The sequence below is a fragment of the Homo sapiens genome, chromosome 4, assembly GCF_000001405.40.
Source record: "Homo sapiens chromosome 4, GRCh38.p14 Primary Assembly".
Classification (NCBI taxonomy): domain Eukaryota; kingdom Metazoa; phylum Chordata; class Mammalia; order Primates; family Hominidae; genus Homo; species Homo sapiens.
In genome coordinates, this window is record NC_000004.12 from 56448674 (window position 1) to 56471146 (window position 22473).

General features: G+C 41.0%; 2 protein-coding genes and 1 long non-coding RNA gene across 14 annotated transcripts in view, besides 2 other annotated features; 2 read left to right on the forward strand and 1 right to left on the reverse strand.

Annotated features, from left to right (window-relative positions):
* PAICS (phosphoribosylaminoimidazole carboxylase and phosphoribosylaminoimidazolesuccinocarboxamide synthase) overlaps positions 1 to 15905 on the forward strand; it is a 54072-nt gene extending 38167 nt beyond the window's left edge. For 5 of the 9 annotated variants that reach the window (XM_047449527.1, NM_006452.4, XM_047449529.1 and 2 more), the window contains 5 exons: positions 37 to 150; positions 1946 to 2029; positions 3199 to 3379; positions 4930 to 5088; positions 10699 to 15905. In XM_047449527.1, coding sequence (XP_047305483.1) covers positions 37 to 150; positions 1946 to 2029; positions 3199 to 3379; positions 4930 to 5088; positions 10699 to 10865 — 705 coding nt within the window. In that variant the 3' untranslated portion in view covers positions 10866 to 15905. The remainder of the gene's footprint in view (positions 1 to 36; positions 151 to 1945; positions 2030 to 3198; positions 3380 to 4929; positions 5089 to 10698) is intronic. The other 4 variants (NM_001392010.1, NM_001392011.1, NM_001392012.1 and 1 more) reach the window with 2 other exon arrangements.
* Positions 10325 to 11524: an enhancer, noted in NCBI's record as "MED14-independent group 3 enhancer chr4:57325164-57326363 (GRCh37/hg19 assembly coordinates)". NCBI's record gives its function as "activates an origin of replication core promoter dependent on BRD2, BRD4, P300/CBP and CDK7 cofactors, and independent of MED14, by STARR-seq in HCT116 cells {active_cell/tissue: HCT116}" and the evidence as "EXISTENCE:reporter gene assay evidence [ECO:0000049][PMID:35650434]".
* On the reverse strand, positions 12637 to 18885 carry LOC124900706 (uncharacterized). The gene is made up of 2 exons (XR_007058126.1): positions 18419 to 18885; positions 12637 to 14320 (listed from the first exon to the last, which is right to left on the reverse strand). It is a non-coding gene; the product is annotated as an uncharacterized LOC124900706 (long non-coding RNA).
* Positions 18789 to 18998: an enhancer, noted in NCBI's record as "active region_21580". NCBI's record gives its function as "activates an Ori minimal core promoter by ATAC-STARR-seq in GM12878 lymphoblastoid cells {active_cell/tissue: GM12878}" and the evidence as "EXISTENCE:reporter gene assay evidence [ECO:0000049][PMID:35858748]".
* The window catches only part of SRP72 (signal recognition particle 72), a 36065-nt gene continuing 32535 nt past the window's right edge, over positions 18944 to 22473 (forward strand). For all 4 annotated transcript variants that reach the window (NR_151856.2, NM_006947.4, NM_001267722.2 and 1 more), the window contains exons 1-2: positions 18944 to 19071; positions 20980 to 21100. Coding sequence is in view for 3 of the 4 variants with exons in the window: in NM_006947.4 (NP_008878.3) it covers positions 18963 to 19071; positions 20980 to 21100 (230 nt within the window). In the remaining variant the exon portion in view is untranslated. The remainder of the gene's footprint in view (positions 19072 to 20979; positions 21101 to 22473) is intronic.

Here is a 22473-nt window from a genome sequence, read left to right on the forward strand (position 1 = left end):
TAGTTTTTGAAAACTTTGTTGACATGCTGTTTCCAGATTGAATTTGGTGTTGATGTAACCACCAAAGAAATTGTTCTTGCTGATGTTATTGACAATGATTCCTGGAGACTCTGGCCATCAGGAGATCGAAGCCAACAGAAAGACAAACAGGTAGATAATGCTTCAGGTTTTTTTATCCTTTTTGAGATCAAGCTGAGATAGAGGAGAAAGGAGAGATGAGGGGAAAAAGCAAATTATTGTTCCTAATGATATGAACCTGTTTTGTGGATTGCTGTTTATTTTTAAAGATAAATGTCTCTGGTATCCTAATAGAAGAATAATAGGAATAATACTTTACATTTATAAAGCAAATTTCTCATCTGTTATCTTAATAACATTGTCACAACAGTAACAGCAAGTATTATCTTTGTTTGGCTAAATGAAAACTAAGGGTCTTAAGAGGATGGGTATCTTCACAATTACTAGAGTCAGGGACAGATCTGGGACTCTATTCCAAGTCTCCTGCATGTTACCAGGCCACATTTCTGCTCCTATATAAAACAACAGACACTTCTCAAAAGAAGACATTTATGCAGCCAACAAACATGAAAAAAAGCTCATCATCACTGATCATTAGAGAAATGCAAACCTAAACCACAATGAGATACCATCTCACACCAGTCAGAATGGCTGTTTTAAAAAAGTCAGGAAACAACAGATGCTGGAGAGGCTATGAAGAAATAGGAACGCTTTTACACTGTTGGTGGGAATGCAAATTAGTTCAGCCATTGTGGAAGACAGTGTGGTGATTCCTCAAGGATCTAGAACCAGAAATACCATTTGACCCAGCAATCCCATTACTGGGTATATACCCAAAGGAATATAAATCATTCTACTGTAAAGACACGTGCACAGGAGCAGCACTATTTACAATAGCAAAGACATGGAACCAACCCAAATGCCCATCAGTGTTAGACTGGATAAAGAAAATGTGATATACACACACCATGGAATACTATGCAGCCATAAAAAAGAATGAGATTGGCCAGGCGCGGTGGCTCACACCTATAATCCCAGCACTTTGGGAGGCCAAGGCAGGTGGATGACAAGGTCAGGAGTTCAAGACCAGGCCAAGATAGTGAAACCTTGTCTCAAAAAAAAAAAAAAAAAAAAATTAGCCAGGCATGGTGGTGGGCACCTGTAATCCCAGCTTCTCGGAAGGCTGAGGCAGAGAATTGTTTGAACCCGGGAGGTGGAGGTTGCAGTGAGCCGAGATTGTGCCACTGCACTCCAACCTGGTTGACAGAGCGAGACTCTGTCTCCAAAAAAAAAAAAAGAAAGAAAAAGAATGAGATCATGTCCTTTGCAGGGAAATGGATTCAGCTAGAAGCCATCATCCTCAGCAAACTAACACAGGAACGGAAAACCAAACACCACATGTTCTCACTCATAAGTGGGAGTTGAACACTGAAAACACATGGACACAGGGAGGGGAACAACACACACCGGGGCCTGTTGCAGGGTGGGGAGCAAGGGGAGGGAGAGCATTAGGAGAAATACCTAATGCATATGGGGCTTAAAACCTAGATGACAGGTTGATGGGTGCAGCAAACTACCATGGCACATGTATACCTATGTAACAAACCTGCACATTCTGCACATGTATTTAAAATAAAAAATAACAGAAAACAAAATTAGAGCAAGACCCTTTCTATACTTAATATATAAAAATTCTCAAGGCAGTTAATTGTAGTTGCTAGTACAGAAAACACTTAACCTTAAGTGAAAATAAAAGTATACTTTACTATGGAACTTTGTTAGTTTAATTCAGGAAGTGAAAAGATGCATTTTCAGAAGTATCCCTTGCTATACAAACTCTTCATAATCCCTCCCCAAAACTCAGAAACCAAATAGTTTCAGGTAGCAAGAGATACTTGTTTTCTAAACTTTCTATCTTATTTTCTAGTCTTATCGGGACCTCAAAGAAGTAACTCCTGAAGGGCTCCAAATGGTAAAGAAAAACTTTGAGTGGGTTGCAGAGAGAGTAGAGGTAAACCTTCTATAGTAAAACTGTATGTATTATGTGTTTTTCTTCTAAGAAAATCTTGTTTCAAAAGAAAAAAAAATGGGAGAGTATAGTGCTTTTCTTTTCAGTGACTTTGTTTTTTGTTGTTGTTTTTTTTGAGACGGAGTCTTGCTCTGTCGCCCAGGCTGGAGTGCAGTGGCGCCATCTCAGCTCACTGCAAGCTCCGCCTCCCGGGTTCACGCCATTCTCCTAGCTCAGCCTCCCGAGTAGCTGGGACTACAGGCGCTGGCCACCACGCCCAGCTAATTTTTTGTATTTTTAGTAGAGACGGGGTTTCACCGTGTTAGCCAGGATGGTCTTGATCTCCTGACCTCGTGATCCCCCTGCCTCGGCCTCCCAAAGTGCCGGGATTACAGGCGTGAGCCACCACGCCCAGCTCTTCAGTGACTTTGAAAGTGAGGAACACTTTTAGGAAATGTATCAGCTGGGCTATCCTTACTAGGATACTGGAACTCCGTGCTGTTAAGCTGGCCAATACATACCTCCCAGATCCTGTTGGGGAAACCTGGAATCTGTCTCCTCCCTACCCCGTAGGAGAAACCTTATATTTCCTACTCACCTGCACTGCTAGTCAGAGTTCCATTAGCATGGGATGGATGGAACTCTGTGTGACTTTAAATATTCCTTTAAGTTTTATGGTATTACTATAATTCTGGGAGTTGAATGGGGTTTGTGATTATGCAAGGGTCATAATCACATTTGAGAACATTATTCTTATAGGAATATATATTTTGAGTTACAAGCAATTAACTTACAAAGACTTAGAACATGACTTCTGATTTGGCTAATCATACCTTAAAGCTTCCATTAAACAAAGTGCACTAAAGGTCTTAGGATGAAATATTTTGTATTATAATTTCCTGAAAATTAAAAGATTTTGAGTATCTTTACTGTTTATTTTAAATAATTTGTCTGATAAAAATTGAATTCTTTAGGTCTTGATGAAGACCACTTTCCTTTATATATTGAGATTTTTAAAAATAAATCCTGTCTTTTTGTTGTTTGTCTCTGTCTTAAATTTGATCTGTTAAGAAAGAAAATATTGGGCCCAGATATAATTTTACTACAAACTCTAGCTCATTTATTCATTTTTGTTTTTATGTTCTTTTCATATCCACGTATTTTTTCTTCAGTTGCTTTTGAAATCAGAAAGTCAGTGCAGGGTTGTAGTGTTGATGGGCTCTACTTCTGATCTTGGTCACTGTGAAAAAATCAAGAAGGCCTGTGGAAATTTTGGCATTCCATGTGAACTTCGAGTAACATCTGCGCATAAAGGACCAGATGAAACTCTGAGGATTAAAGCTGAGTATGAAGGTAAACCACAAGTAATATGGACATTTCAGGTATTTCTGATTTTGCTAAAAGTAATTACACACTTTAGACTAATAATGCTGAAAAAAGAGCTTTGTCAGTTTTCTAAGGGAAAAACACATGATATACTAGGCTTTCTTTTTTTTTGAGATGGAGTCTCACTCTGTCGCCCAGGCTGGAGTACAGTGGCGCCATCTCAGCTCACTGCAAGCTCCACCTCCCGGGTTCACACCATTCTCCTGCCTCAGCCTCCCAAGTAGCTGGGACTACAGGCGCCCACCACCATGCCCGGCTAATTTTTTGTATTTTTAATAGAGACGGGGTTTCACTGTGTTAGCCAGGATGGTCTTGACCTGATCTCATGATCCGCCTGCCTTGGCCTCCCAAAGTGCTGGGATTACAGGCATGAGCCACCACGCCTGGCCGCTAGGCTTTCTTAATACTCACCTCCAAAGAGCTTAAGGTATTCTAGAAGCTTAGAAAAGAAAGGAGCAGGGAGAAATAATTAAAAATGCAAGTATGAAAAGAAAACAAAGACTAGAATGATGAGAACCTCTGGCATCCTTACCTGGTAAGAAGCCCCTGGAGCATTGCTTCTAATATACTCCAATAGAAAATAGGCCCCCACAGTTACAGGAGGCGGGAGGTTAAAATAGCCGGTTCTCCCGGGAATCTTTAGTTGCCACCCTTTCCTGGGAGGCAGTCAGATAGGAAATTAAAGAACAGTTTCAGAATATAGTACATAAAAAATAATGGTATAGCAGTGATCTAAAATAATGGAGCCCTGGGTTTACAACCAAATGTTTCTCAACTGGAAAAAAATGTTGATTATTTCGTGTACAGGTTGTTGCTATGGAAGTGTAGTTACTAATTTTGGGGGAGTGGGAGGTTGGGGGAACTCAGACTCCTTTGATAGCTAATGAATTCTAGAACTCTTTTCAGAAAATTGCAAATACATACAATTTTGGATTCTAGGTTAACAAATCTCTGCTTTAGGAAACAGGAGGATAATTTATAAATTTATCAAAGAATGAATTGCTTAAGAGATTATGTTAAAAAATGTATCAAAGGGCCTTAAAATTTGGGGGACACTATATTAATTAAACTTTCCTTCAACTCTTGTTTGAAGACGTGTCCCTAAACCCCTAGTTTATATTAACTGGTTCTCCCTGCACCAGTTGAGGGACCACCCAGTCAAGAAAGACACCTGTTCAGATGGTGTCATTCTTCACTTTGGCCAGCCTATACAGCAATAGAAGAGGCCTATGAGCTATTCCCTCACTGACACCCTGCTATCCCCTTTATAATGTAGATCTCAAAAACAACCAAACCGATTCCAGCTACTTTATTACTTGACTTATAGTAAGTGGCAGAGTAACCTTATGTTTTGAATATATGTGTAATAATAGTATCTTTTATGTTTTTTCAGAGAAGACTATTCAAGGACCTCAAGTAATTAAAACATATAGGCCTTAAACCAAAAAAAAAAAAAAACCCTGTCTTTAAATCTGTTTTGAATGTTTAGCATAATTATACTCTTGTCATTTCCCTAGGGGATGGCATTCCTACTGTATTTGTGGCAGTGGCAGGCAGAAGTAATGGTTTGGGACCAGTGATGTCTGGGAACACTGCATATCCAGTTATCAGCTGTCCTCCCCTCACACCAGACTGGGGAGTTCAGGATGTGTGGTCTTCTCTTCGACTACCCAGTGGTAAGATACATTGAATTTTTAAAAACTGTTCATTACAAGCATTTAACAGATGCACAACAGTAGACAGAATAGCATAATAAAATCTCATGTACCCATGACCTAGCTTCAGCAATTAACATCTTGTTGTGTCTACAGCCATCTCCTGCTGGATTATTTTAAAGCAGATCTTAGACGTTATAGTAATTTATACTTAAGTATATGTTTAAGTAATACAGGCTCTAGTTTTTAAATCATAATCATGATATTGTTATAGAACAAAAGGAGCCCACTATCTGATGCATTAGAAACCAGTACTATCTAAGCCACCAGGTTTTTGAGAAAGAAAGGCTTCCTCTTTCAAGTTGACCAACAAGGAGACATGAGTCCAGCTCAAATCTGTGCTGGCTTTAAGGCAGCAATTTTATTAGAAAAGGTTTAGGGGATAGATTCTGGGATTAGTAGGTGATTGGTGGAAGGAAAGGGGAGGTCTAGAAAGTCCTTGGGCATGTGCAGTTATCTCTTCATGTTATTTCATGGATCACGTGTGTAAATTTGGGGGAGTTAGAATGAATTGTGGTGGAAATTGGGCCTGTGACATCAGTAAGCTGGTTCTGTGCAGACTCTAGTTGGCCATATTGTTTAATCTACCATTCTGCAAACTCAGGAATTTCTGTTAGTTGTTGGTATCTTTTAACTCTTGGGGACACAGTTTCAATACCATATTCACACCTAAGAAAGACTAGTGGTAGTTTCTTAAGGTATAATTTTTAGTTGGGGTCCAAGTTTTCTAATTGTCTCATCTGTTTGTTCAGATCCACCACAGTCCTTATATTGCATTTAGTTGATAATCTCTTGATTTTTTAAATATATAACAATTCATCCTCCCTTTTTCCCTTTCATTTTTTCAATAGAATTTTCTATATTTTGGATTTGGCTTCTTACATTTCTAGGTGGTGGTAAACATGCTCTTCCATTCCCTATATTTTCTATAAACTGATGGTGAGATCTGTAATAAAATCAAGTTTAGATATTTTTTTCCCAAGAATTCATGGTATTGATTTTTTTTTTTAAAGTAAATGTGATCATGTTACTTCTGTAGAGAGAATACAATTTTATTCTTAAATATTGGGGATAAGGCTGGGTGCAGTGGCTCATGCCTGTCATCCCAGCACTTTGGGAGGCTGAAGTGGGCAGATCTCTGGAGGTCAGGAGTTCAAGACCTGCCTGGCCAATATGGTGAAACCCCATCTCTACTAAAAATACAAAAATTACCTAGGCATGGTGGTGAGCATCTGTAATCCCAGCTACTCAGAGGCTGAGGTAGGAGAATCGCTTGAACCTGGGAGGCAGAGGTGAGTCAAGATTGTACCAATGGATTCCAAACTGGGCAACAGAGTGAGACTCGGTCTCAAAATAAAAAATTGGGGATAAAAGATAATAACATAAGGAAGTCCCCTTTTGGCTGATGGAACTGGATCACGTAACAGTGTTGTGGTTCGTTCATCATAGTCCAAGATATGATCTGATATTCTGCAGTTTATGAGGGTCAATATTGTTTCAGTAGGAGATTTGCTTTATTACTAAAATCCCTAACTTTTCTCATATCTGTATATATCCAGTCTTGATATGTGTCAAGTATATTAAGTCTTTGAGCCCTCCAACCTGGTCCAGTGGACTGGCTTCTCTCTAGGCATCCTGTACTGCTGTTGTCTTAGGATCCCCCTTTACCATAATTTTGGAGACTCATTTTGCCTTTCTCTAGGCTTGGATCTCCCATGTTTTCCCCTTACTTGGTTTATTTTTATTTTGTTGGAGTACATTCTTGAACTTGGGGGCAAAAGAATACAAAAGGTAAATTTTGATACCTTGTGTATCTAAAATGTGTATATTGAAGCCCTATACTTGATAGTTTAGAAATAGAATCCTATGCTGAAAATCATTTTGCTTTGGAATTTTGGGAGCATTATTACTCCACTGTCTCCTAGCATCCACAGTTGAGGACTCCATTGCTTTTCCACCAGTCTGATTCTAGGTTTCTTATGAATTTTGTTTCTCTCTGGAATCTTTCAGGATCTTTTGTCTGTTTTCATTGTTCTTAAATTTTACACAGATGTGATGTGCTGAGTCTGTTTTCATTATGGACTTTCGGTGAGCTCTTTTAATCTGAAATTCTGATTTCTTAGTCCCCATTTTCCTTGAATTATTTAATTTTCATACCCCTCCATATTCTCTCTTCTCATTTTTGAATTTGAATAAATTTGGGCTTCCCTTGATTTCTATTCTACTTGTTTGTCTTGTTGGTATACTTTCTGGAATATTTCCTAAATTTTACATTCCAACCCTTCTATTGAGTTTTTCTTTTTTTTCTTGAGACGGAGTCGGGCTCTCTTGCCCAGGCTGGAGTGCAATGGCGCAATCTCAGCTTACTGCAGCCTCCGCCTCCCAGGTTCAAGCGGTTCTCGTGCCTCAACCTCCTGAGTACCTGGGATTATAGGTATGCACCACCACGCCTGGCTAATTTTTGTATTTTTAGTGGAGATGTGGTTTCACCATGTTGGCCAGGCTGGTCTCGAACTCTTGACCTCAGGTGATCTGCCTGCCCTGGCCTCCCAAAGTGCTGAGGTTATGGGCGTCAGCCACTGTGCCCGGCCTTCATTTTGGATACAGGTGTTTTTTGTTTGTTTTGACACAGGGTCTTGCTCTGTTGCCCAGGTGGGAGCACAGTGGCATGATCATATCTCACTGGACCCTTGAACTCCCCGGGCTCATGTGATCCGCCCACCTCAAACTCCCAAGTAGCTATGACTACAGGCCCACACCATCACACCTGGTTAATTTTTTTACTTTTTGTAGAGATGGGCACTCCGTATGTTGTCCAGGCTTGTCCTGAACTCCTGGACTCAAGCAATCTTCCCACCTCAGCCTCCCAAAGTGTTGGGATTGGGTAGGAACCACTGCCTCTGGGGTTTTTTTTTTTTTTTTTACACAATGTTTTTATATTTCTTTTGGTTTTTGTTTTCTGGGTTTTTGTTGTTGTTGTTGTTTGTGTTTGTATGTTTTTAAATTTCCAAAAGCTCTTTTTTGTTCTCTGGAGATGATTATAGTCTGTTGCATATAGTTACTTTCTTCAGCTGTCTGGTAATCCTTGGCTGTTTGCGCTTTTAAGAGTGGAATACTATAAAAAACAATTGGAAACTTCAAGTGGGTGGTCCGTGTCAAAATTGGGCTTCACTGTGGGGTGTATCTGGTAGGGATTGTTCTTCAAACAACCCCTCACATTAGTGTCTAGGTATTTTCTTAAGTGTTGACCAGAATTACTCAGAGAACAAAAGTTGTCTGTGCCTGGCGTCCCCTAGTTCAAAGACGCCAAGACTGAAGTCTGTTTTACCTTCAGAAAAATTAAAGGCCTGGCTTGGTGGCTCATGCCTATAATCCCAACACTTTGGGAGGCAGAGATTGGTGGATTGCCTGAGCTCAGCCTAGGCAACCTGGCGAAACCCCATCTCTACCATAAATACAAAAATTAGCTAGGCATGGTGGCACACGCCTGTGGTCCCAGCTACTTGGGAAGCCAAGGTGGGATGATCACTGGAGCCTGGGAAGTTGAGGCAGCAGTGAGCCGTGATTGCACCACTGCACTCCGGATGACAGAGCGAGACCGTGTCTCAGAAAAAAATAATGTTTAAAAAGAAAAAAATTGCTACAGTGCTTTAAAGAGGCAGTTACTCAGGTAGATGGAGTGGGGAAGGAGATTTGAGGACCTAGCTTCTTCTTAGACTTCGAGTCAGTCATCTTCTTCTTAGTCCCTATTCCCTTCCAAAGGTATCTGGTGCCACTAATTTAGTCAGTCACCCTTTGGGGGAGTTCTGTAATGTCAGTCATGTTGCTTCTCATCTTTCCCTGCTTTCAGTTTAGAATTAAGTTTTTTTTTTTTTTTTTTTTTAAATGGAGTTTCGCTCCTGTTGCCCAGGCTAGAATGCAATGGCGCAACCTCCGCCTCCCAGGTTCAAGCGATTCTCCTGCCTCAGCCTCCCAAGTAGCTGAAATCACAGGCATGCACCACCATGCCAGCTAATTTTGATTAAGTTTTCTTGGTCTGCTAACTTAGCTACCACTGTGTTTGCCTTTCAGTTGCCAAAATGTTACTGCTGTTATCTGGCCTTGTGTGTTCATGCCTATTTCCTTTACTGTTTTTATAGGCTCTGAGAATTAAATTTTGTGCCTAAGCTATCTTTAACAAGATGTGATTATACAAATGTCTCAAGCTAAAAATCAGCGGCTACAAATAAAGCTGTAACCAAATTTATGCCAGAGGAATTGTATAGATACCCATGGAGCTTACAAAAGGGGAGCATGATAAGCAAAAAATTGGCAGTTTTTATAGTAGTGTTGTTTCAGGAGTGACAAATAATCTGGAAGACTTGTACATAATGATCACTAGAATTGGGGATAATCTTTTGAGGAGTAGTTTTACAGTAACCTGTGTAAAATCCTGAAGACCGCCCATATTTCTCATCTCTGATGTCATGCTCACTAGATAACTTTTTTTTTTTTTTCTGCAATTTAAGCTATTCTTTTACCAGAAAGGGAGTCCTGGGCAGGAGGCACAGGTTATTTCAAATATTAGAGTGGAGCACTCTACCTAGCGTGCTAACAATAGTGGTTGACATTCTTGGAGCACATACTGTGTACCAGGCAATGCTCTAAGCACTTTATCTATGTTATTAACTCATTGAAGTGTCACATCAGGTAGCTACTAGTTAAAATTCCCTTCTCACAGAAGAGGAGAATAAATTAACGTGAAGTAACTTGACCAATACCACATATTAAGGGGTGGAGCTCCATAAAATAACGTATTAATACAAATTAGTAAATTGGCCTTGTGATTTGTATTTGACTCTGTTCTTGTGGATAATGGGAGTCAAAGAGCCTGATGAATTCCAAGAATATCGGGAAAATCGAGCTTTTGGAACTATAGCAAACACTAGACATAATAGTACCCCTGATTCTAGCAAACACTAGACATAATAGTACCACCTCAAGACACTCTGCCTGAGCAGACATGTGGCCCCTAGGATGTTACTTTTTTATTCTGCTGTCTTGGATCTTATTAATATTTATTTATAACTTGACATTTCCTAAAATTATTCTACGGATTTGACTTTTACTGCTCAAAAATATTAAAATAGTTCAAATGCAGATAGAAAGATTAGCTAGAAAACTGTCAAAACAACATAGCTCAAGTTTGTCTAAGAACAGGTACTTTTGTACTCTTACCTTGACCCTTATTTTGCTTCAGTTGTTCTTCGCCAGGGATTGAAAGGGATAGTGTATGTGAACAGAAGTTTCAAAAAGATAAGTTTCTTTGTAAGTGAGTTCTATAAGAAGGGTGATAGATGATATATATAAAATATCTCTTCATGGCAGGTAATACTGACTGCTTTTCCTCTTGTAATCACTTTACCACTCCGGTATTAAAGACAGTTGTACAGATTCTACTTTAGATTAGAATAATGCAGTAGCTTTTTATTTTCTGTGGCAGGACTGCTCTGAGTATAAAATTTTTTGTAAGGTTGTATTTTCATTACTAATTGAGCTCAATTTTCTGTCTTTTCCTTGCTGAACCAATAGGTCTTGGCTGTTCAACCGTACTTTCTCCAGAAGGATCAGCTCAATTTGCTGCTCAGATATTTGGGTTAAGCAACCATTTGGTATGGAGCAAACTGCGAGCAAGCATTTTGAACACATGGATTTCCTTGAAGCAGGCTGACAAGAAAATCAGAGAATGTAATTTATAAGAAAGAATGCCATTGAATTTTTTAGGGGAAAAACTACAAATTTCTAATTTAGCTGAAGGAAAATCAAGCAAGATGAAAAGGTAATTTTAAATTAGAGAACACAAATAAAATGTATTAGTGAATAAATGCTTCTCTAGATCCATATTAATAAACATGAGCATCTAACCCCTCCTTTCTTAGGCTAGACACCAAGATATTTCAGCCAGCCTTTATCATTCCTCTTACTTTATCCTTTTTCCTTAAGTATTGGTGGTCACTACTATTGAGTTTCTTCCTTAACACTGATTAAATGATCTTAACTCCCTCAGCTAAAACTGGCATTACTGACTCCCAGCTATATTTCTCCAGACTTGCATTTTTTTTTTTTTTTTTGAGACAGGGTCTCACTGTCGCCCAGGCTGGAGTGCAGTGGCGTGATCTCAGTTCACTGCTGCTTTCCCTCCTGGGCTCAAGCAGTTCTCCCACCTCAGCCTCTCGACTAACAGGGACTATAATCTTGCAGCACCATGCCGAGCTAATTTTATTTTTTGTAGAGATGAGCTCTCACTATGTCACCCAGGTTCGTCTCAAACTCCTGAACCCTAGTAATTCTCCTATCTCAGCCTCCCAAAGTGCTAGGGTTACAGACATGAGCCACTGTGCCTGTCTAGACTTGTACTTTCAACTGTCCATTTCTCCCTGTCTGTCCCATGGGCACTCATGAAAAAACAGAATGCTCCCAACTTTATTCATCTTCCAAGCCTGTAGCTCTTGGTATACTCACTGTTGCAAGTCAGAAGCTTGATTTCATCATTGATGTTTTTCTCACGTTTCACATCTCACTCATCACCAAGTCATGTTGGTGTTAATTTCTGATTAACCCTTGAATTTACCGTCTTCTCATCCTCTGTACAAAAGCCTCAAGTGAGGGTCAAATTCAACATTATCCTGATCTAGACAGCCCCCATTCTCAATCCACCCTTTTCCAAGTTGATTGCCCAAGGACTTCTAACAATAAACTCTCTTTTGCACCACAGACTTCTTTGAAAATATACATGCTGTTGACCCTCTCTGTAGAAAACCGCACACATAAAACTTACCAACAGATTTCATTGGTTCTTGGGTTCTCCCGAAGCCTATCCATGGTTTATAGATTAAGAATTGATGAGGTAGCTGGGCACAGTGGCTCACACCTACGATCACAGCACTTCGGGAGGCTGAAGCAAGCAGATCACTTGAGGTCAGGAGTTTGAGACCAGCCTGGCCAACATGGTGAAACCCTGTCTCTACTAAAAATACAAAAAGTAGCCAGCCGTGATGACAGGCACCTGTAATCCCAGCTACTCGGGAGGCTGAGGCATGAGAATTGCTTGAACCCGGGAGGCGGAGGTTGCAGTGAGCCTAGATCATGCCACTGCACTCCAACCTGGGCAGCAGAGCAAGACTCTGTCTCAAAAGGGGAAAAAAAAAATTGCTGATGTGACCCATGAAGGGAACTCATTTTCCTCGTAATTTTGGACTGCCACACATTGGTACCTTTAGTTCTCTGAAGGCCCACGTTTTTATCATTAAGACCTATTTGTTAGCTAGTAGAGCTTTATGTTCGCTGTCCATGAAACCTTCTGTAACCACAGTGACTACAAGTAGTTCTTTCTCTATTGAATTATTAGGTCCAGAATAGAAGATGTCATTGTACACTTTATTTCCCTCACACTGTGTTATGCTCTGATGTGCTATGCTTAGCTATCTGTCAGAGATTAGTAAATTATAAAACTCATGTGTACTACTTAAGTTTATATCTTATGCTAGTTTATAAGAACAATTAAAAGGACTTAGAAGATTAACTTTGGTTTCATGGTCTCTGAAGTCACTGACTGCTATTTCAGCTTGTTTACCCTTACCTAGCATTAAGACTCCATCTACTTCTGTGCAGTATATGAAAATTTTTAAACTTTCATTTAGACTGGTGGATAGGACTGACCATTACAAATTGTCGTTATCAATTTTTTTTCCTTTTTTTTTTTAAGAGCCAAGTTCTCACTGTCTCCCAGGCTGGAGTGCAGTGGCATGATTATGGCTCCCTGCAGCCTTGAACTCCTGGACTCAAGCTGCAGCCTCTCGAGTAGCTGGGTGCATGTGCTACCACACCCAATTATGAATTTCATCATTAGTTTCTTAGTAGAGTCCACATGTCCTCAGTAGTAAGTTCATCAGTGCTAAATATTTGAAGGTATTTCTACTGTTTTGTAAAAGTAACTTAAGCCTACCTGGTCTGCTATCTTTTGAGTATTTATACTTTCTACGGGCTTGTAGGTAAACATAAAAAGAGAAAAAATATCCCAATAATACAGTTTTTAACCTTTTATGATAAAGACATGCTTAGAATTGCTGTTAAGCTTTCTGAGATTTAACCACTGAAACTAAGTAAAAGACAAAGCACTTAGGTAAAGCTTCATTCAGTATCCATTCACCCAATACTGGTTTGATTCTAGGGCCTAGGAAAATAGGACTGAGCAAAGCCCTTGTCCAGATGGAACTTATGTTTTAGAGGGGAAAACAAACCATAAAAAGGTAAACAGTATAAAATCAGGAAAGGATAAATGTATATGAAGAATCAAAATGAGGACGGTGATGGGGATAAGAGGGGAAGGTTTTTGAGGAGAGCAGAGCAATGATGTAAAAGCAAGACACACAGATAGGGAAATAGCTTTCCATACTAAGGGAATGGGAAATAAAGCTGAGTTTTGCCTTGAGGACCTCCAAACATGAGAATTGCTAGAGCTCTGTGAACAAGGATGAGAGTGGAAGACAATATAAGCAAAGGCTACATCACTTAGGGCCTATAGGCCACACTGAAGTGTGACAGGAAAAACTCAGTTTGAGCAGAGGCTTGACATACTTAACATATTTAAAGGTTCTCTGGCTGTTGTGTGGACAAGAGGAGAAGCAGAGATTAGTTAAGAGGCTATTGTAGCCCAGGTGAGGGATGATGTATGATCTTCAACATGTCTAATTTTTTTGTGCCTCAATTTCATGAAATGAAAATGCGACTAATACCACCTCATAAAGTTGTGAGAATTACATGAGTCAATATATGTAAGGCCCATCATGGCACACAAATGTGTTATGTAATATCCATTTGGCAGACTGAAGAACAACAGTATGAATGGAATTCATTCACCATGAGAATTACCTGGAATTCTCTGGGCATGGTAGCTCATGCCTGTAATCCCAGCACTTTGGGTGGCCGAGGCAGGTGGATCACCTGAGATCAGGAGTTCGAGACCAGCCTGACCAACATGGAGAAACCCAGTCTCTAATAAAAATACAAAACTAGCCGGGCATGGTGGCACATTCCTGTAATCCCAGCGACTCAGGAGGCTGAGGCAGGAGAATCGCTTGAACCTGGGAAGCGGAGGTTGTGGTGAGCCGAGGTTGCGCCATTGTACTCCAGCCTGGGCAACAAGAGCAAAACTCTGTTTCAAAAAAAAAGAAAGAAAGAAAATTACCTGGAATTCAATATTGCCATCGGCTGATTTAATTTCTAATATGAAGAAAGGGGCAGTGTGATGTGCCACGGAGCATCCACAACCTGCCATTTCAGCCCAGCCAACCTTAGAAAGCCATTGAAAAGAGTTGTTTTTAATGGTGTTTTTACATCCAGCTTCCCACACCTCAAATACTTGGGGTGGAATTGTTAATCTCACATTGCAGTACAATGAAAATAGTGGAATGGAAATCAAGTTATAAAATGGAGCTAAATATTTCTTCTGCTTGCCTCTGAGTTGATAAGATACCATAAGATACTGTACATGAGGCTGGGCGCGGTGGCTCACGTCTTATTTCTTCTGCTTGCCTCTGAGTTGACAAGATACCATAAGATACTGTACATGAGGCTGGGTGCAGTGGCTCACGCCTGTAATCCCAGCACTTTGGGAGGGTGAGGTGGGCAGATCACCTGAGGTCGGGAGTTCAAGACCAGCCTGACTGACATGGAGAAACCCCCTCTTTACTAAAAATACAAAATTAGCCAGGCATGGTGGTGCATGCCTATAATTCCAACTACTCGGGAGGCTGAGGCAGGAGAATCGCTTGAACCTGGAAGGCAGAGGTTGTGGTGAGCTGAGATCGAACCATTGCACTCCAGCCTGGGCAACAAGAGCGAAAATCTGTCGCCAAAAAAAAAAAAAAAAAGATACTGTACATGGAAGCTTCTCAGGCTAAATCCATTAATATAAAAATACATTGTGGATACTGATGAGATGGCTAATTCTGTCAACTTGACTAGGCTACGGGATGCCTTGATAGCTGGTCAAACAACATTTCTAGGTACATCTGTGATGGTGTTTCTGGAAGAGACTAGCACTTGAATCAGTAGACTTGAGTAAAGAAGACTGCCTTCACCCATGTGGGTGAGCGTCATCTAATCCATTGAGGGCCTGAATAGAACAAAAAAGGGGAAGAAGGGTGAACTGCTGGGACATCCATTTCGTGCCCCCAGATGTTGGTGCTCCTGGTCCTCAGGCCTTCAGACTAGGACTTAACGTTATTGCCTCCCCTGATTCTCAAGCCCTCGGGTTTGGAACTACACTGGCTTTCCTGGGCCTTCAGCCTGCAGAAGGCAGACTGTGGGACTTCACCTCCATTTTGCAGAGCCAATTTCTCATAATCTGTACATATCCTATTGGTTCTGTATTTTTTAGAGAACAAATACAGCCTATTATGTATATATAAGACCCTGGGAATGCAAAGATGAACAAAATTAACCTTCTGCTCTCAATGAATCTTGGAAGTCTCCAGAGGCAGACAATTTCAAAACACCGTATATAGTCTTAATATGGAATTAACAATAGGGTATTGTGAATACACAAAAGTAGGAAGGACTCTGATCTCTAGAAAACAATTGTATACTGTGAATGAAAAAGACTAATTCTCCACAGTCTATACTCAATCTCTCTTACCTTTCCATAATTTTCTTCAGCAAACTTATTACCACCAAACATAGTACATGTTTATTTATTACCCATCTCTCCCAACTAGAAAATAAATGTATTACACTGGGCTGTCTTCTTTGTTGTCAGCTGTATCACAGCAACTGGTGTAATACACGGCACTGGCATATACAAGACAAACACTTGTCAGATGAATAAAAATGCAAATTCCAGGAGGTAGGGGGACACATAACTACATGGAAGTTAGAGGTGAATAGCATGCAAGGGGGCTAGGAAATAAGTATAGAGACCTATGTGAGTTGGGGAGGTGGCAAGCAGAGGCCAGATCACAAAAGCTCTTACTGCTCTTCTTTGGAGTTCGGATTTTATCGTGAGGGTAGGAAAGTGGCATCAGATACATGCTTTAAGAGATCAGTCTGGTTTTTTTCCCACCATGTGAAAACAGAAGATGCCATCTATGAATCAGAGTGGCCCCTCACCAGACAATCTTTCCATCCTTCACAATGTGAGATGTAAATTTGTTATTTAAAAAAAAAAAAACAAAACACCACTATGGTTTGGAAGATTCCTGTTTCAAAAATGGCAGGTTAAGCCCCATATTTATAGGCTGTTTGCCACAAAACTCCATTAAAATGACATAAGAAATAGAAACAAGTCCACAGCAGCAGAATTCTGAGCATTTCTAAAAGCTACAAAGTATATAGGATTAGAATGATATAGAAACGAAAATTGCCAATTCTTATATAAAGTCAATGTTCTAAAAAGTACTACTAGGACAGTGGCTCTTAACTTTTGGGAGGGGATGGTGGATATAAACACCTTTGGAGAATACAGTGGAATCTACATTTTCTCAGAATAACAAAATACAACAAAATTTTGGGTATACCCAATTTTCTCACACAACATTTTGGGTATACCATGTCATCTGGAGCCCCCACCCCCTGAAATCTAAACATAACTGGCTTGAAACCTGTGACAATTCTAGTCAGTAAAAGTCTAAAGCTCTTCTCATGATTTTTACTAATTCACAAGAATTACACCCTCCAGCACCTAGAGTTCAAGCCACCTTTCATGCTCTTTGCATTGTATATACTGGAAGGACCAGACAAAAATATGGCAGGGCACCATATGCCATATCAGGAGCTGGGCAGTTTCTGCCCTCAAGGAACTCAAGATTAGGCAAGGAATGTGAAACAAAAAATGCCAACTATGTGCCAGGCAGTATGCTAGATCCTAGGGATACTGCAGTGAGCAAGGTAAATATGGTTCCTTGGCCTCAGAACTATAGTCCATACAGAGTGAGATAACCCTTAATTATCAGTGCTCAGAAGTGGAGTCCTATAGGGAGTCTCCCAACCTTTTTGGCACCAGGGACCGGTTTCAGGGAAGACAATCTTTCCACAGGAGTTGGACAGCTGGTTTCAGTATGATTCAAGCTCATTACATTTCCCATTAGATTCTCTTAAGGAGTGAGCAACCTAGATCCTTCACATTCCCAGTTCACAATAGGGTTTGAGCTGTGAGAAGCTAATATCACAGCTGATCTGACAGGAGCTCAGGCGGTACTGCTCACTGGCCCACCGATCACCTACTGCTGTGCCGCCCGGTTCCTAACAGGCTGCAGACCAGTACAAGGGTTGGGGACCCCTGTTCTAAGAGGATGCAACCAGAAGGCTGCCCAGTCTGCAAGATCAAATGTTTCCTCAAAGTAACTTTCAACGTATAACCAGAAAGACTGAAAGACAAAAAGTAGTTAGCAAGGCCGGGCACGGTGGCTTACGCCTGTAATCCCTGTACTTTGGGAGGCTGAGAGAGGGCGGATCACTTGAGGTCAGGAGTTTGAGACCAGCTTGGCCAACACAGTGAAACCCCATCTCTACTAAAAATTCAAAAATTAACCGGGCGTGGTGGCTCATGCTACTTGGGAGGCTGAGGCAAAAGAATCGCTTTAACCCAGGAGGTGGAGATTGCAGTGAGGTTCATCCTGGGTCACAGAGCTAGACTACGTCTCAAAAAAAAAAAAAAAAAAAAAAAAAAAAAGCTAGGTTCCTGAGGGACACAGGAAGTAGTAGAAGTTGTAAAGGTCATGACGAGATATGAGTCTGAAGAGCAGGCCATTCAATGAAATACAACATTCACATCAAGTGAATCACTCACATCGTCTTGGTGTGGTGGCTCATGCCTGTAATCCCAGCACTTGGGGAGGCTGTGGTGGGAGGATTGCTTGAGCCCAGGAGTTCCAGACCAGCTTGGGCAACACGGCAAGATCCCCGTCTCAAAAAAAAAAAAAAATCACTCACATCAAGTGTACCCAACAGATATCCATTCCCTTCGTACATCTGAACACATCTTGATATTAACGGTCGCAAGCAAACCCTAATATTTTATATCTCTAGAACAAATATAGTATCCCCATTTCACAATCGGGAAAACAGACTCCCAGAAGCTAAGTAACTTGTTTATTGTCAGACATCTAGTGAGTCGCAGAGCCAGGGAACTGACCACGGGCATTTTCACCCCATTACCCTTCCAGCTTATTGCCGACTGCTCCCGAAGGGAGCGAAAAGGACAGGCAAAGGGTTTCACCAAACCCTTTGTAATGGGAGATTCTTGCCTTCTTACCTTTCCTCACGTTTGCTTCTCTGCCAGAATGTCTTCCCGCACTTTCCCCAGAACCCAAGTTCTCCTAATCATCTTTCAAGATCCCTTTCCCTCAACCACAGATGAGCCGTGCCTATTTCTCCTTCAAATGACTCCCTATGGCTTCTAGTTGGTAGTCTTTTATTTACCACCTCATAGTCCTTTTATTTATATCCCATAAATGATCGTCCGGCCCCGCACCGTGGGACCAGGACGCTGCCTCGACCATGGCGGTCTCCTGGAAACAGGCTGCTTTGAGCCGAAACTGGTGACCGTTTCCCAACCCCGTCCAGGAGTCCGACGCCTCTTTTCTCCAGGCCAACTTCAAGTGAGGTGTATCAACTCTATCCGCACAAATTTCTTGCCACGAGAGCAGAAGATTATGATCTCTGATGCTGCCTTAGGGCTGAAGACACTCCCAACTCGGCGACGCTTAGCAATCATCGACTTCCTCCTCCTCTTGGCTGCCTCGGAGATCCTGTTCCGGGGCAGAGGTCTCCCCGCCCCGCCCCTCGTCTCCTCCAAGATGGCGAGCGGCGGCAGCGGGGGGGTGTCAGTACCTGCGCTGTGGAGTGAAGTGAACCGGTATGGCCAGAACGGCGACTTCACGCGCGCTCTCAAGACCGTCAATAAGAGTAAGTGTCGGGGTGGGCACTGGGGCGGGCCCAGGCCGGCTGGAGGATGCGGCCTGTTTCCGGCGCGCGAGACCACCTCGCGCGGGAGGCACGGGAAGGGGAGACCCCCGAAACCCCCCCGTCTATTGTCCGCCCGGCTCGGGCCCTAGCGCCCGGAAGACGCAGGTCTCACTCCTCGGCTTCACCAGGCCAGCCTGGGGTCCCTGGTTGCTTACAGCCACGTGTACTTCTCTTTTTACCCTCCGCGGGAAGCGAGGGAAGGTTTTAAAGAGACCGCAGCTCCCGGAGTCCATTTCAAACTGTTTTCTTATTTGACTCCTTTGCTGCTTTATTTCACAAATATTCCAAAGTGCCTCCTTTTCTTCTTCGTCTTGAGCGCAGTGATCAGGACTCTATTGCTGAGGGAGCTTGTTCTCTTTGGCCGCTAAAGGGGGAGGAACCTGCTTGGGACACGTAGTTTAGAGGCTGGTGCTAACCAGGTGGAAGCTGTACGGGTTCTACGGGGCGAGAGGAAAGGGCTGGATCTGGATGTCAGGCCTGTCATTCCCATAGATGAGATCTCTTCAGTGTTATTAAGTTAGGAAATATGTGTGTGGAAGCACCAACACTTGAAATAATGTCGGAAGAAAAGTTTGGCCTGTTTTTTTGCCCTGTAAGGGATGATTTCGGTTTTTACCGCCTTTGGTGTGAGGTTTAATTCATCATATTCTTTTGTTCCTTACTACATACCTGGAATATGGCCATGCTGCTTAATGTTCTCGGTGGTGCGCAGTTCTTCTCTACTGAAGATACAGCCTGTGCATGTTAGATTTGGAAATGTAATTACCAAGGCAGGGCTTAGCTGTTCAGAGTAGCAGTAACCTAAAAGGTGTGTCAGTAACATGCAAAGCTATCTAAGTAATTTTCAACACTCTAGTACTGGGTTAACGTGAAAAGTAGTGATTGTGCCCACAGTGCACTTTTGGTGATTTCAGACATTGAGGAAAATAGCTACGAATTAGAATTATTTGATCCCTAAATTTGTTTGAATTAACTCTAGCCTTCCAACCAGTACTGTATACTTAGTATAGTATTTTGCAGGAATTCTTTAATCAGCAAAGATTGTCAACTTGTTTACCAGTATGTTTTCTTAATTGGTAGAAATTCTTGTGATTCTTTGAGAATTGGACTTCTGTAGTTGCACAGGAGCAAGAGTAACTATGATCCTGGTCATTTTAACACCGAACAGTTGTTAGCGTTGAAACTTGCCACCTGAGTTCTTCCTTATACTTTGGTCATCTTAGTTGAAAAGGGGAAATTTTAATGATTTTTGGAAACGTTGCCAGCAAGATAAATTGCCTTTGTATTATACTTTATAAGATTTTTCCAAAATATTCATTTCATATTGTCAGTAACCTTATTAAATAGGTAATGCTTTTCTAATCATTTTGTAGCTAAGAAAACTGAGATTTGGCTGTTAAGTGATATGCCCAATACCTCAAAGCATTTAGTGGCAAGCTTGCACCAAACCTAGGTCATTTGCTTCCAAATTCTACCTGAACTTTTTCCCTGTGAAGTAATGAACTATGTAGAATGTAGCATGCATTTCAAGATGAAATATCTGGAGAAATTGCTTCTTTCTTCTTTATTTCACTGCACTTTTTTGGTACATGTATATTGGGAATCTTTATCTCATTGAAAATTTAATCTATAACTCTCCTTATTGTCACTTCTTAAGTTAAAAGCAAAGATTAGTTGTTTTCTGGGTTTGTTTTGTTTTGTTGCTGTTTCTTCCAGTTGTTCTGACCAATTATTTCTGTTGCAATAAAAGTAGAAATTTAGCTTTCGGAGAGACAGGGTGGGAAAATTTAGTAAAAATGTGAAAAGGAAATGGATTTAAAAATGACTTTTCCTAAAATTGTTCTCTAGTACTACAGATCAACAAAGATGACGTAACTGCCCTGCATTGTAAAGTGGTATGCCTTATCCAGAATGGAAGTTTCAAGGAAGCTTTGAATGTCATCAATACTCACACCAAAGTGTTAGCCAAGTAAGTGATTCAGTTAGTTGCTTGTACAGTTATTAGAAACACTTACTATAGCTATAATCTCTTCCATGTTTTTTCCCAACTATTTGCTGATTTTTTTTAACGTTTTTTTCCTTCCTTTTTTTCCCCCCTTTTGCTTGTCAATAATGTTTCTGAACTGGAAGGAATACTAGTAACTTCTGTTTTTTTCAGCCTTAGAGAGTTTTTTTTTTTTTTTTTAACCACTGTGTTTCCTTTGAACCGCTAAGGAGGTGAACCATAGAGAGTTGTGGGGCATAATTATGAGTCGTTGGAGGATGTAGCAAGAATAACTCAGTCGAAGTTTCTTTACTGTTATACCTAGGCTCCAAAAAAATATGTATTGAAATTAAGTTTGAAGCATATTAATGGGATACTGGTTTATAAGGTGCAGAACAATATATATTATACTTCCTTTTACAAGAGGAGGAGGATATAAAAATTTATATATGCATTTGCCTGTATTTGCAAAACAAACAGTATAAAGAGAAACAATGAATAGTCATTTGTGGGAGGCCTAAGAGGGCGGATCACGAGGTCAGGGGTTTGAGACCAGACCGAGCAATATGGTGAAACCCCATGTCTACTGAAGATACAAAAAATTAGCTGGGTATGGTGGTGTGCACCTGTATTCCCAGTTACTTGGGAGGCTGAGGCAGGAGAATCACTTGAACCCAGGAGGCAGAGGCTGCAGTGAGCTGAGATCGTGCCATTGCACTCCAGCCTGGGTGACGGGGAGACTCCGTCTCAAAAAAAAAAAAAAGTCATTTGTAGGAGGTAATAGGAACAGGTTAGATTTGGGTAGCAGTGGGAATAAAGCCTCTTAGTGTATCTCTTTTTCTTTTTATATTTGAGGCGTATAAATGTGTTAGAGATTAAAAATTAATTGTAAACTTTATTAAAAATAAAAGGGAAATAGAGGCAATGCTGCTTTTCTCCTATTAAATATGTTTGCTAAAATTCAGTCTCTTGATTTTGGGCTATTTTGTGAGAAAAGAGACATTTTCAAAAACATTTTGTCAATGAGTCTTGGATAAAAGTTTTTTTTTTTTTTTTTTGGGAGGAGTCTTGCTCTGTCGCCCAGGCTGGTGGAACCTCCACCTTCCGGGTTCACGCGATTCTCCTGCCTCAGCCTCCCAAGTAGCTGTGATTACAGATGTGCACCACCACGCCCAGCTAATTTTTGTAATTTTAGTAGAGACAGGGTTTTGCCGTGTTGGCCAGGCTGGTCTTGAACTCCTCACCTCAAGTGATCTGCCCACCTTGGCTTCCCAAAGTGCTGGGATTACAGGCATGAGCCACCACACCTGGCTCAAAAATAAATTTTTTGTTAGGTAAGTAAATAAAGGACATTAGCC